The sequence below is a fragment of the Homo sapiens genome, chromosome 1 (assembly GCF_000001405.40).
Source record: "Homo sapiens chromosome 1, GRCh38.p14 Primary Assembly".
NCBI classification, from domain to species: domain Eukaryota; kingdom Metazoa; phylum Chordata; class Mammalia; order Primates; family Hominidae; genus Homo; species Homo sapiens.
In genome coordinates, this window is record NC_000001.11 from 53,353,295 (window position 1) to 53,368,540 (window position 15,246).

Here is a 15,246-nt window from a genome sequence, read left to right on the forward strand (position 1 = left end):
CTTCGCCTTTCCGGACAAAGAACAACAAAAGAATGAAACATGTTTGCTTCAGTACTTTCGTGGTTTCATTTATTTATCTTTCGATCTTTGATCCATTCAAAATTAATGTCGGTGTAAGAAGTGATATGCAGTCTCAACCTACTTTTTTCCAGTCACCTAAATATCATTATTAAATAATCCATTTTTACCCACTCATTAGAAAAACTACATTCTCATATGTGTTTGTGTCTAATTCTGGATTCTTTATTTCTTGTTATCTTCCTAGCTCTTCTTTTAGTTTTTATTGTGGTCTATTTTAGATATAAAAAATGCATAGATTTTCAAGTGTTTGGTTTGGTAAGTGTTGGCAATCATATACACGTGTAACTATTTAAAATAAAACATAAAACATTTCCATCATTCCAGAAGATTCCCTCATGCTCCTTCCTGGTCAGTCTCCACTCCCATCATCCCAGAGGCAACAATTGAGGTTTTTCATCACAGATTTGTTTGGCTTGTTCTAAAATTTCATCCAGGTTGTTCTGTGAAGCAACAGTTTGCTCCTTTTGATTGCTCCACGATGTTTCATTACATGCATAATCCAGTCTCTTTAGCCAGTTTCCTACCAATAGACACATGGACCGTTTCCAGTTTTGGACAACTATGAATAAAGCCGTTATGAACATTCTTATACAAATCTTTTTGTGAACGTATTTTTTCATTTCTCTTGGTGTAACTGCTATTTTTTTCATTTCTCTTGGTGGAGGGTAGGTGTTAACACAGCACTTTTGTCTCTTTATTTCTTCCCAATACTTATACCCCTATTTTTTGTGAAATTATAGAGGCTAATATCTCCAAAGTAATGTCACATAAGAAACTATCAGACTTAAAAAAAATGGTTGTACCATTTTCTATTCCTGCCAACAGTATATAAGAATTCCAACTGATCTACAGCATTTGCTATATTTGTGGGGTTGTCAATCTTTTCAATTTTAACTATTCTGGTGGTTGGGTGGTTGTATCTTATTGTGGTTTAATTTGTATTTACATGATGACTAATGGTGTTGAGCATTTCTTCATTTGCCTATTGGCCATTTGCATAACTTTTGTGAAGTGTCCATGAAAATCTTTGGCCTAACTTAAAAATTAGGTTGTTTATCTTTTTAATTATTGAGTTGTAGGAGTACTTGATATATCCTGGATACCAGTCCTTTGTCTCACACACACACACACACAGACATACACGTATTTATGTTTTGTGAATATTTTCTACCAATCTGTAACTCACCTATTCATTCTCTCTCTCTCACACACACACACGCACACTATTTTTTTTTTTTTTTTTTTTTGAGATAGGGTCACCCAGGCTGGAGTGCAGTGGTGTAATCATGGTTCACTGCAGCTTTGACCTCCTGGGCTTAAGCAATCTTCCCACCTCAGCCTCCAGAGTAGCTGAGACCACCAACACATGCCACCACATCCTGCTAATTTTTTTTTTTTTTTTTGTAGAGATGGGGGTCTCACTATGTTGCTTAGGTTGGTCTTGCACTCCCGGGCTCAAGCGATAATACCGCTTTTGCATCCCAAAGTCATTTTTTCAATGATGTCTTTTGATGGCAGAAGTGTCTAATTTCAAAATTTATAAATTGTTTTCTTTTATGGTTATTTTATGTCCTGACTTCTAAGAAATCTTTGCTTACCTCAGCGTCCCAAAAACATTCTATTTTTTACCTAGAAATTTTATGATTATGGCTTTTTCATTTATTTCTACGATCCATATAAATTAATGTTTGTGTTTGGAGTGAGATAAGGACTTTAACATTTTCCCATGTCGATATACAGTTGTTCCAACACCATTTGTTCAAAAAGAAGTTCCTTCCCCGGTAAATTGTTTTGGTCCTTTGGTTGAAACTCAACCATATACATGAGATCTATTTCTGAATTTTACGTTCTGTTCCTTTGTTCTATTTGCATATGCTTACATTGATATCACATTGTCTTGATTACTGTAGCTTTATAGTAAGTCGTTAAGTCAGGCAGTGTTCTTCAAACTTGTTCTTCATTTTCAAGATTGTTTTAGCTATTCTGGATGCTTAAATTCTCACGTAAATTTTCAGATCAACTTGTCTACTTCTTTAAAAGGGCCTACTCTTACTATAATAGGGATTGTGTTGAATCGATAGGTCATTTTGGGGAGAATGGACATCTTAACCATATCAAGTCTTCTCTTAGCCATATTTTTAGACACGTTTACATATATTTTATTTGCTGTTTCTAGTATTTGATATTTTCTGATGACAATGTAAATGATATTTTAAAATTTCAATTGTTTTTTTCTAGTATATAGAAATAAAATTGATTTTTATAAACTCACCTCATATCCTGCAAACTTGCTAAATTTATTTACTAGTTCTAGGAATTCTTCATAAATTCCACAGTTTTCTGATTGAACAATATATCATCTGCAAATTCCACATTTTAACTCATTCCTTTCCAACGTTTGTGTTTTTTATTTTGGTTTTTTTGAGGCAGGGTCTCGGTCTGCCACTCTCTGTCACCCAAGCTACAGTGCTGTGGCATGATCATGGCTCACTGTAACCTCAACCTCCTTGGCTCAAGTGATCCTCCCCCCTCAGCCATCCGAGTAGCTAATTATCATTAGCCAGGCTACTGTGTGTGTGTGTGTGTGTGTGTGTGTGTATGTGTGTGTGTTTAGAAACAAGGTCTCACTATGTTGCCTAGGCTGGTCTTGAACTCCTGGCCTCAAGTGATCCTCCTGCCTTGGCCTCCCAAAGTGCTGGGATTACAGGTGTGAGCCACCATGCTTGGCCCCTTTTATTTATCTTACTTTAATGCACTAAAACTTCCAACTCAACGTCAAATACACATTCTTGCCTCATTGCTGAACTTAGGAAAAAAAGATTAAATGTTTCACCATTAAGCATGATGTTAGCTGTAGATGGCCTTTATCAGTTCGAGTAATTTACTATCTACTTCTAGTTTGCTGACAGTTTTTTTATAATGAATAGATTTAGAATTTTGCCAAATGATTTTTCTGCACCTATAGAAATAATCACGTGAATTTTCTCCTTTATTTTGTTAATATGGTGAATTACATTCATTTCTGAATGTTAAACTAATCTTGCACTTCTGGAACGAATCTCACTTGGTTATGATGTATTATTCCTTTAATATATTGCAGGATTCAATTTACTAATATTTTGTTACAAGTTTTCACATCTCTATTCATGAGGAATATTTGTCTGCACTTCCTTTTCTTGTAGTATCTTTACTGGGTTTTGATATCAGGATTATACTGGTCTCCTAAAATGAGTTAGGAAGTGTTCATATTATTTTCTCTATAAATGACAAAAACTGGCATTTATTGCTGATTTTTAAAAGCTCTATTTTCTGAAATAGTTTGTGTAGAATTAGTATTATTTCTTCCTTCCTTAAAAGTTTAATAGAATTCACCAGCAAAGACCATCTGGACCTGGAGTTTTCTTTGTGGGAAGGGTTTTTATTGTAAATTTTGTTTCTTTAGTAGATATAGGACTATTTGGGTTCTCTATTTCTTCTTTTGTCAGTTTTGCTAGAGTTGCATTTTTAAGGAATTGTCCATTTCATCTAAGTTGTCAAAATTTGCATAAAATTATCTATAATGTTCCCCAGCTATCCTTGAATGTTTTTCATGTGACCTTTAGAATCTGTCAATTTTCCCATGACAAAAAGTGCTTCAACTCAATTCTTCTATTTCTTAAGCAACCAGATAGACTACATATCCTAGCCTTTCTTGTAATTAAATGTGGTCATATGATTGATTGAATTCTAGCCAATGGAATGTGAGTGGAAGTGATGTGTATCACTTCTAGGACTGGCCTTAAAAACCTTCAATGTTTGGTCATTCATGTTCCTCTACCAGCTGGAGGCAGATGAGCACAGTCACCTTGGAAACCATGTGTTGAAAACAAGAGAGACACAGGATTAAAGAAATCTGAATAGGAGAGGGGAAGTAAAGAGAGAAAGGGAGGGAGAGAAAGAAACAGAGAGAGAAAAACCTGCCAATCAGGAATATCTATTTTGAACTTCACATAAGCTAAAATTAAATATCTACCATATTCTAGCCATTATATATTGAGGAAGAACTCTATTTTCATTTTTATTGGAATCATTCTAAATGTATACATTAATTTAGGGAACTGATTTTGTTAAAATACTATCTTCCTTTCCAAAATAGGACACCTCTTTCTATTTATTCTTATTGTGTTTTAGGTGTCCAGTAACATTAAAATTTTTTTATATAGATCTTGCATGTTTCCTATTAAATGTGTTGCAAGATATTTTATAATTTTTGCTACTTTTATAGATGGAATCTTTATCTTTTCTAACTCATTGTCATATAAGAAAGTTATTAATTTTTATATTTTAATTTTTACCCATTTATCACACCAAATCATCTTATTTGTAATAGTTTTTTAAGGTTTTTCAAGTGTATAATCATATCATATGCAAATAACACAGCACTTTTGTCTCTTTATTTCTTTCCAATACTTATACCTCTCTTTTTTGTGAAATTATAGTGGCTGATATCTCCAAAGTAATGTCAACTAAGGCTGGTGAAAGGGGACATCCTTGTCCTGCTCACAAATTTGTTGGGAATCCTTCAAATTTTTCATCATTATGCAAATGGATGGCATTTGCTTTGATATTGTCTCATTAAGGAAATATCCACCTATTTCTATTTTATCAAGAAGTTTTTAAAAATCAGGAATGGATGTTGAATTTTATCAAATGCCTTTTTGATATCTATAGGGAAAATAACATGATTTTCCCCTCTTTTGATGTACTATATTTACATGACATTTATATTAATATTACATTATTGATTGTAATGTAATGTAATGTAATGTAAAATCAACTAAATTAGTTGATTTTCTAAAATTGAACCATCCTTGCATTTCTGGTATAAACTCCAAAGGTTTGTTACAACAGTAAGCTATTTCCTTAATATGTGTCTGTATTTTAAAGTATATTCCTAAAACTATTTCTTTACTTAGGATAGTTGCAACCTCAATGTTAATGTGAGCTGACTTATTGTGTTCTATTCTGTGCTTTCTTGCATTTTGCTATCAATGTTAAATGGCATTCATGAAAAATAACTGGAAGCTCTTCTATGCTCTGGAACCACTTATGTAGCATTGGAGATATCTATTTCTAAAAGGCTTTGAAGAATTTACTTGTGAATCTTTAAAGTATAGTGGTTTTGGGGACTTGCAAAATGAAGATATTCTGATATTCCTTTATCATGTGTTACCTAGAATATCTCTATCAAGGGAAATTTCTCTTTATCAACTATTAGTTTACCACAAGGTAAACAACTTTGTAAACAATTTGCTTAACAATTTTCTTTGTTTATATTACACTATTTGGTCCTTTGAGATTTTCTTTCAGAAAAGGCAAATTTAATCCCATCACATACTTGTTTAGACTGGAACACCTGCAGTGACTATGCCTCATGGTAAACTAATAGTTGAAAAAGAGAAATTTCCCTTGATAGAGATATTTTAGCTAACAAATGATAAAGAAATATCAGAATATCTTCATTTTGCAAGCCCTAGTTAAATAATGGGAAAATGGATCTAGTCAATGTTCTTAAATAGCAGCTAATATCACAAAATGAGGACAACCTCACATTTAATTCCTCCTGATAGAAGTTCACAATACTGTCTATGAATTACTTTTGCTATACATTCAAGCCTCTAGATCTAACTCTGGTTGCCAGGAGCCAGTCTCATGGACAAGTGTGGAGAGGTTCTCAAGCCCTTTTTTTTGCTCCTTGTGAGCCTCTCCCAGCCCGATCCCACCTTGCACAGATGAGAAAACTGAGACTTGGTAAAGAAGTCACCTGCCCACTTTTTAGCTGTGTGTCCTTGGACAGGGAATTTAGTCTCTCTGAGCTTGATGTCATATTACACACTCAAGACAAACCATAATGCCTACCCCAGTGGCCCCTGACATGTGCATGCTCACCGATGTTTGTTCCTCTTTCCAAAAAGAACAAAAAGACCCATCCTAGATCAATGCACTCAGCCTGCCACTCCCTCTATTAGCTGGGGTATAGGCTGGGGTAAGTCCTTTCCTATTGCCAGCCTCAGTGTTTCCATCTGCCAAATGAGTGTTTCTGGGAGCTTGATCATCACTGCCTTCCTCTCTTGTAACTCTGTCCTGGGACCTGGGTAGTGTAAGCACCCAAACAAGAGATGGCAGACCCTTGGGCTTCTGGGCCTGCTGTCACCCTGTGCAGTGGGGGGCTGCCTGCTGGAACGGAGATTTCTGCAGATCCTTGGACCAAGTTGGGCCAGGAATTAGTCAGCAGGACAAATTATGTGAGACAGATCCTTGATTATCTCCTTCTGCCGCCCCATGTTTGACCCCATGGCCTTCCTGCAGCTGAGCTCCTCTCTGCTTCTTGCAGCCCAGAATAGAGCCCCTTCCTGCGTATAGCTGCCCCAGAGTGTCCAGCCTGCCCCCATCCAGAGCTCCCTGGCCCAGAGGACAAAGGCCAAGGGCTTCAGCCTGGTTGCTGTCCACCCAGGGACCCCTGTCAGGACCTCTGGACTCCTAGGTCCTGTATGGAGATCCCAGACCCTCCTTGTCCAGCCCTCCTCTACCTCTTTGCTCAGGCTGTTCTGCACACCTGCAACAGGTACCCTGAAGAGAATAACGTTTGACCTTGAAAGACAGCTCATCTGTCTACCTCCTCTACCTCCTCCAGGAAGTCTCCCATGACTGCCCTACCCACAAAGACCTCTCCCTCCACTGAGTTCCCTGTGTGTCTCACTCCGTGTGTATCTCAGTGACTAGACAGTGAGGGCCATGAGGGTAGGGGCAGGACATGACTCAGCCCAAGGACCTGGGAGGCAGTTTGGGCCAGAACTAGGTTTAAATTGCACATCAGCCATCTTTAAGCATTTTGACCTCTCTGAGCTGTAGTTTCTCATCTGTACAATGGGAATAATGTCAATTATCTGTTCCAGAAGTACAACTCCTTCTGTCTGGAAGGACAGGAACCAACACTTATCAGCAAAGATGTGGGCCCAGAGTCCAGAGCCCAGAGCCCAGAACCTGGCCCCGGATATTAATCTACTAATTCTCACCCTGTCACAGAGCTTTACAGCTGCTCTCTGCGGAATCCCCTTATCGCCTTAATCTGCCTTAGACCTCACTTTTTTTCCAATAAAGGGAGGGGCCATCCCATCCTGGAGTGGGTGTAGGGTCCAGCCCCACAGGGTTGGTGGGTCTCTCCCTGTGTGTGGCGATGAGAGAGTGTAGAAATAAAGACACAAGACAGAGATAAAGAAAAGACAGCTGGGCCCCGGGGACCACTACCACCAATGCGCGGAGACCGGTAGTGGCCCCGAATGTCTGGCTGCACTGTTATTTATTGGATACAAAGCAAAAGGGGCAGGGTAAAGAGTGTGAGTCATCTCCAATGATAGGTAAGGTCACGTGGGTCACATGTCCACTGGACAGGGGGCTGGCCCTTCCCTGCCTGGTAGCCGAGGCAGAGAGAGAGAGGAGACAAAGAGAAAGACAGCTTACGCCATTATTTCTGCATATCAGAGACTTTTAGTACTTTCACTAATTTACTACTGCTATCTAGAAGGCAGAGCCAGGTGTACAGGATGGAACATGAAGGTGGACTAGGAGCGTGACCACTGAAGCACAGCATCCCAGGGAGACGGTTAGGCCTCTAGATAACTGCGGGCGAGCCTGACTAATGTCAGGCCCTCTACAAGAGGTGGAGGAGCAGAGTCTTCTCTAAACTCCCCTGGGGAAAGGGAGACTCCCTTTCCCGGTCTGCTAAGTAGCGGGTGTTGTTCCATGACACTTTTCGCTACTGCTAGACCACGGTCCGCCTGGCAATGGGCGTCTTCCCAGACGCTGGCGTCACCGCTAGACCAAGGAGCCCTTCTGGTGGCCCTGTCTGGGCATAACAGAAGGCTCGCACTCTTGTCTTCTGGTCACTTCTCACTGTGTCCCCTCAGCTCCTATCTCCGTATGGCCTGGTTTTTCCTAGGTTATGATTATAGAGCGAGGATTATTATAATATTGGAATAAAGAGTAATTGCTACAAACTAATGATTAATGATATTCATATATAATCATATCTAAGATCTATATCTGGTATAACTATTCTTGTTTTATATTTTATTATACTGGAACAGCTCGTGTCCTCGGTCTCTTGCCTTGGCGCCTGGGTGGCTTGCCGCCCACACGTGGGGAACCAGAGAATGGGAAGGCCTGGCTGTGGGTCCTGATTGGACCTGGGTGAACCCAGAAGGAAGTGCTGAGTCTGGGAGCTTCCCCTGGCTGTGCGCAGGGAGTCAGAGTGGGAGGGGCTTCCAAGCTGCCCTAAATGTCCTAGCCAGAAGACATACACTCTGTCACTCACAAAATACCCACAGGCCTGTGCCAGGTGCTGCAGACTCTGGGGGAGTCCCTCAGGAAGCCCACAGACTGCTAGAGATGATGCCTCCCAGTGCCATCTAGGGACACCCAGGGTCTGTAGGACACCCAGGAGCCCCTGGCCTAACCTGGAGCCTAGGAGGGCTTTTCTTCCAGGGCAGATGGGGTGCTGGGTTCTAGGGGGTGACTGGGGCCATGGGGTGGAGGAAGGAGGAGGCCAGCACTAAGCGGCACTGAGGGCGAGGCCGGCTGCCAGGGCCTGCGATCTGTGCAACTGCACAAGACTCTGCATTCGGAAGGGTTTAATGCTCTGCAGGCATCATCCTGAAATGCTTGATAATTTTTTAACAAGGAGCGCTACATTTTCATTTTACACTGGATCTCATAAATTATGTACCAGCGTTGTAGGGAGTGGGGGTGAGCCTGTCACCAAAGGGGGCTGGGAAAATAGCCTCCCACAAAGAAAGGGCAGAATTCGAGGTCAGGAGTAAGTCCTTGACAAATGCGTATGACCCTAGACAAGTCCCTTTCCTCACACAGGCTGCTTCCCCTTAGGATCAGTGAGGGGCAATCAGGTGGAGAGATTTAAAAGCATTAGAATGGGATAGGGAAGGGAAGAGTAGGCAAATTCAGCACAGAGGTGGTTCCTGGCCCCTTTTCTGCTCCACCCCATTGTCCCGTCCCTCCTGGGCCCTCCTGGGAGCTAATCTGATTATAGAATCCTGTGGAATGTGCTGATGGTGCCAATGGGTTCCTTGTTCTCCCTGCAAACACCCTATTTACATTGTTCTGGGGTCTTCATTCCTCTGAGGAGCTGGTCGCCATCCTGGAGGAACTCCAGTCCCCTACAGGGTGGTGGGACTGTGCCCCCTCCCACTGCCTCCCTCACAGCTGACCCTTTCATAGAAAATCAAGCTCTTTCAAGATCTGCTCCTGCCTGGGTATAATGCTGTGGCCCAAGGCCCTCCAGTCCCGAGGCTAGTCCCTGTAAGCTTTGATAAGACACCCCCTCCATTCTCCTTCACCCAGCCTGAGACCCTGTGTCCCTAGGCTGCCTTACAGGGCCAGATCACACACCCACGAGTCCGTGGGTCCCAGAGCAGTGACCCTGACAACTCTGAAGAACTGGGGGAGGCCCAGCGCCTCTGATGTGTGCCCCCAACAAAAGCCATCTAGGGCCCATTTTACACTCAGACAGAGGCCTGTGTGCCTGAGCGGGGTGGGTGAACTCAAAGGGTCACCGTAGTTAAAGGGTCTGGCATGGGAAACTAGGCCTTTTGGGATCCAAGCTGCAGCCCAATATCTCAACCCCACCACCACCAACAGATTGCGGGGCTGTGTGTGAAGCAGGTAGCCCACTCCACCTGAAATAGACCCCAGTGGTACTCTCACCCTCCCGCAAACCTGCTTCTCCTCTGTCCCCACCTCCAAGGGACCCTTCATCCCTCAGGCACCCAAGCCAGGAATCTGGATATCAACCTAGACCCCTCCCTCTGGGTACTGAGTCCCCTCTACTCTTCCCTACCTGGCTGTCACCCAGGAGGCTGCTTTGCATGGGCAAGTTCTGTGGTTTCCAGTTGGGTTTGGCCAACGGGAGGTACCATCTCCAACAGGAGATGGGGAAGCAGGAGTGAGGTTGGGGTGTCTGCTCCAGGCCCCCTACTTCCAGGCCATGGGTAGGCTGGTCCCTCCTGTCAAGCACCTTCTCCCACAGCCACCCTGTCTGGTTCCGGCGGCCTTGCCCTCCCTCTGCCTGGGGGTGGTGACATCTCCCACATGTGGCCAGCCCAGGTGCTGCACCATCCCTTGTTAGTTTCCCTTAACATGTCCCGGCTTTAGTCACAAGTACCTTGGTTACTCTTCTCCATTCCCCATCTGGAGTGCACCATCTGCTTCCTGCCAGGGCCCTGTGGGAAACACCCTCTGCCCCCACCCCATTCCCACCAAGAAATACCCAGTCCTCTCGATTCTGCTTCCTAAGTAACTCCCCAACCCACCTTCTTCTCCTGTGTCCCAGGTGCCATATAAACACCCTGGATGCTCCTAATGGGTCTCTCCACTCCACCCTGGATCCCCCACCTCACCCTTCACAAGCACCCACGGGAGGTTTCTTCAAATGCAAAACTTCAAAGAAATATTTTTAATATTAAAGACATTTTATCATGAAAGCAATACTTGCTTATTGTGCAAAATGTCAAACACTACAGAGAGGTATAAAATGAGAAGTAGAAATGCCCTCCTCCCCAGTCCCCACCCTTACTCCCAGGGTCCCTTTCCGTAGAGCCGCCAAGTTCTGGTTCCTTGTGGGTCCCGCTATGCACCTTCCATCCATATGTGCACATACCAATGTGCAGCTCTTTTTATTCATGTAGTGGATTCGGATCACACATATAATATGCCTGTGACGACTTTTGCACTTGTAACCTATCTTGGAGAACTTCACATGTCCACACTTGTAGATTTAACTCCTCTTTGATGGCTACTTAGTATTTCATGATACAGATCTCCCAGTTTTCCCATCCATTGCCCTATAAATGACCATTCGGTTCTTTTCACAGTTTAGTTGGCTACCAACAGTGCCACCACTGGAATTCTGTCCAGGTATCGCTCTGCCTGTGGGTGGACATTTCTGCAGGATTGACTTGCTGGGTCAAAGGGTATATGCATGTAACATTTGAAGGATGTGTCAAATTGTCCCCCTAAAACACTGCTCCAAACTACACTTGCACCAACAGAATATAAGGGTGTCTGTCTACTTCCCCACATTTTGTCAACACTGGGTTTTAAGAAGATAATCTTACCATGCAAATTTCCTGCTTAAAACCCCTCACACCTCAAGGAGTTGGAGCATAGTGGGTGGGTACAGTGGCTCACACCTGTAATCCCAGCACTGTGGGAGGCCCAGGCGGGCGGATCACGAGGTCAAGAGATCGAGACCATCCTGGTCAACATAGTGAAACCTCATCTCTACTAAAAATACAAAAATTAGCTGGGCGTGGTGGGAGGCACCTATAGTCCCCGCTCCTCAGGAGGCTGAGGCAGGAGAATCGCTTGAACCCAGGAGGCGGAGCTTGCAGTGAGCCAAGATCGCGCCATTGCACTCCAGCCTGGCGACAGAGTGAGACTCTGTCTCAAAAAAAAAAAAAAAAAAAAAAAGTTGGAGCATAACTTTCCACCCTTAAGTGTGGGCTGTGCATAGTGACCTTCTTCCAAAGAGTGCAGTGTGGAAAGGGAGGGTTACAGTGGAGAAGTCTCACTACCTCAGCCGGGTGACCGAGCTCAACGGTAACAGAGGTAAGTCATGGTGACAGGGCACACCTTTGTTATGATGGCGTAAAAATCACCCTTTGCTTCTGTGGTCTTCCTCCCCAAAACCCACAACCGCAGTCTAACTGTGAGAAAAGCGCGGGACAAATCCGAATTGAAGGACAGTCTCCTCAAAACTGTCAAGGTCATCAAAGACAAGGAAAGTCTGAGAAACTGTCACAACCAAGAGGAGCCTAGGGAGACACACCGACTGAATGCAATGTGGGGTCCTAGATGGGGTCCCGGCCCAGAAAAGGACGTTCGGGAAAACAAAGGAAATCTGAATCATCTATGGACTTCAGTTCATGACTGACATAGGTTCAGTTCATGGACTGACATAGGTTCAATAATTGTAACAAATATACCCACACTCAGGTAAGATGCTAATATTAGGGGAAACAGTATACATAAACTCTATACAAACTTGGAATTCGTTTCTGAAACTTTAAATCTGTTCTAAAATACAAAGTTAGAAGAAAAATCTCACATCAAGAGCAAGCCTCCCACAGGCACGCAGTGGCCTCTGCGACCGGGCCCTGGCCTCCTGTTGAGTTATGTCTCCCTTCTCTCCCTTCTAGGTACCTCCCATTCCTGCCATATCTGCAAGTCAAAATTTCTAGACAGCCCCATGATATTCAGTTCTCTGGGCTGTTGAAAATTATGCACACGCCGCCCCACCACCACCACCTGCCCCGTGAACACTTCCTACTCAAGAACAAACTCCAAGATAAAGGCTTCCTCTAGAGAGCTCTCCTCTTGCCTCTGACCCCAGCCCAGGCTGGCTCGGTGCCCAGTCCCTGGCACCTCCAGAACGGCTTCCCCAGCTTCTCAAGGTTGTGAAGTGGAAACTGGGTGTGGGAGCTATCTTAGTTTCCTGTGACTGCTGTATGGAATTCTCACAGAGTGGCTTCAAAAGCGGCAGAACTCTATTCTCCCAGCGTTGGAGGCCTGAAGCAGAAACAAGGCATTGGCAGGGCCGTGCTGCCTCTGGAGTCTCTGAGGGAGGCTCCCATCTTGCCTCTTCGGCTTCCTTGGCTGTAACCATGTCACTCCCATTTTTACTTCTTCTTTTTTTTTTTTTTTTGAGACAGAGTCTCACTCTGTTGCCCAGGCTGGAGTGCAGTGGTGCAATCTCGGCTCACTGCAACCTCTGCCTCCTGGGTTCAACCAATTCTCCTGCCTCAGCCTCCCGAGTAGCTGGGACTACAGGCGCCCGCCACCACACCCAGATAATTTTTGTATTTTTAGTAGAGAGGGGGTTTCACCATGTTGACCAGGATGGTCTTGATCTCTTGATCTCATGATCCGCCCACCTCAGCCTCCCAAAGTGCTGGGATTACAGACGTAAGCCACTGCGCCTGGCCCTATTTTTGCATCTTTACATCACCTTCTTCTCTAGGTGTGTGTCTCTCCTTCAGCCTCACTCCCCCCGCTTTTTTTTCTTTTTGAAACAGGGTCTTGCTCTGTTGTCCAGGCTGTAGTGCAGTGGCGCAACACTGCTCACTGCAACCTCTGCCTCCCAGACTCAAGCCATCCTCCCATTTCAGCCTCCTGAGTAGCTAGGACTATAGGCATGTGCCACCACGTCTGGCTAGTTCTTTGTGGGGTTTTTTTCTGTTTTTTTTTTTTTTTTTTGTAGAGATGGAGGGTCTCACTACGTTGCCCAGGCCAGTCTTGAACTCCTGGCCTCAAGCTATTCTCCTGCCTTGGCCTCCCAAAGTGCTGGGATGACAGGTGTGAGACACCACACCCAGCCCTGCCTTACTCTTGTAAGGACACTTGCCATTGGATTGAGGGCCCACTTGCATAATACAGGATGATCTCTTCATCTCAAAATCCCTAATGACATCTACAAAGAATTTCTTTCCAAATAAGGCAATATTTACGGGTTCTGGGGCTTAGGACATGGACCTATCCTTTTGGGGCCAGCCATCCAGCCCCCTACAGAGTCCAGTGTGGCTGGTTCCAAAGGTCCCTTCTTGGCTCGCCTTGCAGGCGGGTTCCTCTTCTCCATGGGGTGGTTGGTCCTTGCTCCACATGGAGTTGAGGGGCTTGGGGACTGGCCACTGAAGGCATGCTGCTCACAAAAGCAGTCTGTGGGCACCCTCCCAGACTCAGGATCACCGTGCTGGCTGGAACATAAATGGGCCCTGTTGCAGGCGGGGTTGTCCTGGAACAGATCTTGAGATAGACTTTGACATGGAGGATATTTACTAGAAAAGTCAACACCTGGGGAAGAGATAGGGAGGAAGCAGGATTTGGTAGAGAGAAGGTGAACAGTGACGCAGCTCCAACGGAGTTTCAGCCATCCCTGGAGCCCATGTGGCCCATCTAAATTATCCCATGGGAGGTCAAAATGTCTGCACCTTTACATCGTAGCCATGATCAGTCGCTGGTCAGCCCTTCACGAAACGAGGGCGATGATAGCTCCTAACTCCTAGGTCAGAAGGGTTAAGTGAAATGTCCTGAGCGCTGACAGCTGCCATACACAGCCACCCCTGGAGGGAGTTCTATGGTTATCTTCCCCTTACAGAGGGGAAAAGCCAGCCTCAGAGATGACAAGCAACTTCCCAAGGCCACCCAGCTAGTAATGGCAGAGCCAGGACTTAAACTGAGGTGTGCCTGATGCAGAGCTTGAGTCCCTGAGAGCTGCTGGGGGAACCCAGAAGCCCGGCAGGTGCCTGGCTCCACACCCAGCTCCCTGGCACTCACTTCCCCACACCCCATGCCCTGTGCAGCGTCCTCCCAGTCACTTCCCATCCCCATGCTCCAAGCCCCAGGGCTATCTCCCCAGGGGACCCCATCAGGGGTTGCCTGGCCTCCCTCCCTTCCCCACAACCAGTGATCCAGCCTCCCAGGACCCCTCACAATTCTCCAAGCACGGCCCTCACCTGCCTGCCCCCATGCCCTCTGTCCCCAAGTCCTTTTTCCCCATGCCCTCTTTCCCCTTGTCTTACCTTTTAAAGTGGTACACAGAGGCCTAACTGTCCCAGTCAGATGCAACCTTCTTCACGAAACCCTTTTGACTGGCACTCTCCCTCCCTTCTGTCTCCCAAAAGACTCAATGTCTATCTCAATCACAGCTGAGTTGCCTTGGGTCTGATATGAATCTGCTTCCCCCAACAAACCAAAGCTTCCGGGGAGGGGAGAAAGTACAAGTTAGGAGCTCTCACTCAGCCAGCTGCATGGCCCGAGGCTGGCTGCTTCCTCTTTTCTGAACCTTAGATTGCTTATCTGTAAAATGGAGCTAACAGAGCACATTGCCAGGCACAAAAAAGGTGCTCAGTAAATGCTGTCTCTCAGGCTTTAGCCCGGGTGCAACTTTGTATCTGCCTCCAGGGCTGCAAACACTCCCTGCCCAGCTGTCTCTTTGCTTTTAATTGTCTATTTCCTCCACACTGCCAGTCCTCAGTTTCCCTTCTGTTAAACAGGCTGTCCTAACCATTCCACGCAACGTACCGTGTGGGGACTAGAAGAGGATTAGCCCAGCAG

General features: G+C 44.8%; 1 long non-coding RNA gene across 1 annotated transcript; it reads right to left on the reverse strand.

Moving 5' to 3' along the window:
- Positions 1–10,559: 10,559 nt before the first annotated feature.
- On the reverse strand, positions 10,560–14,855 carry LINC02812 (long intergenic non-protein coding RNA 2812). Its single transcript, XR_001738058.2, has 2 exons — positions 14,712–14,855; positions 10,560–13,983 (listed from the first exon to the last, which is right to left on the reverse strand). It is a non-coding gene; the product is annotated as a long intergenic non-protein coding RNA 2812 (long non-coding RNA).
- Positions 14,856–15,246: the final 391 nt, after the last annotated feature.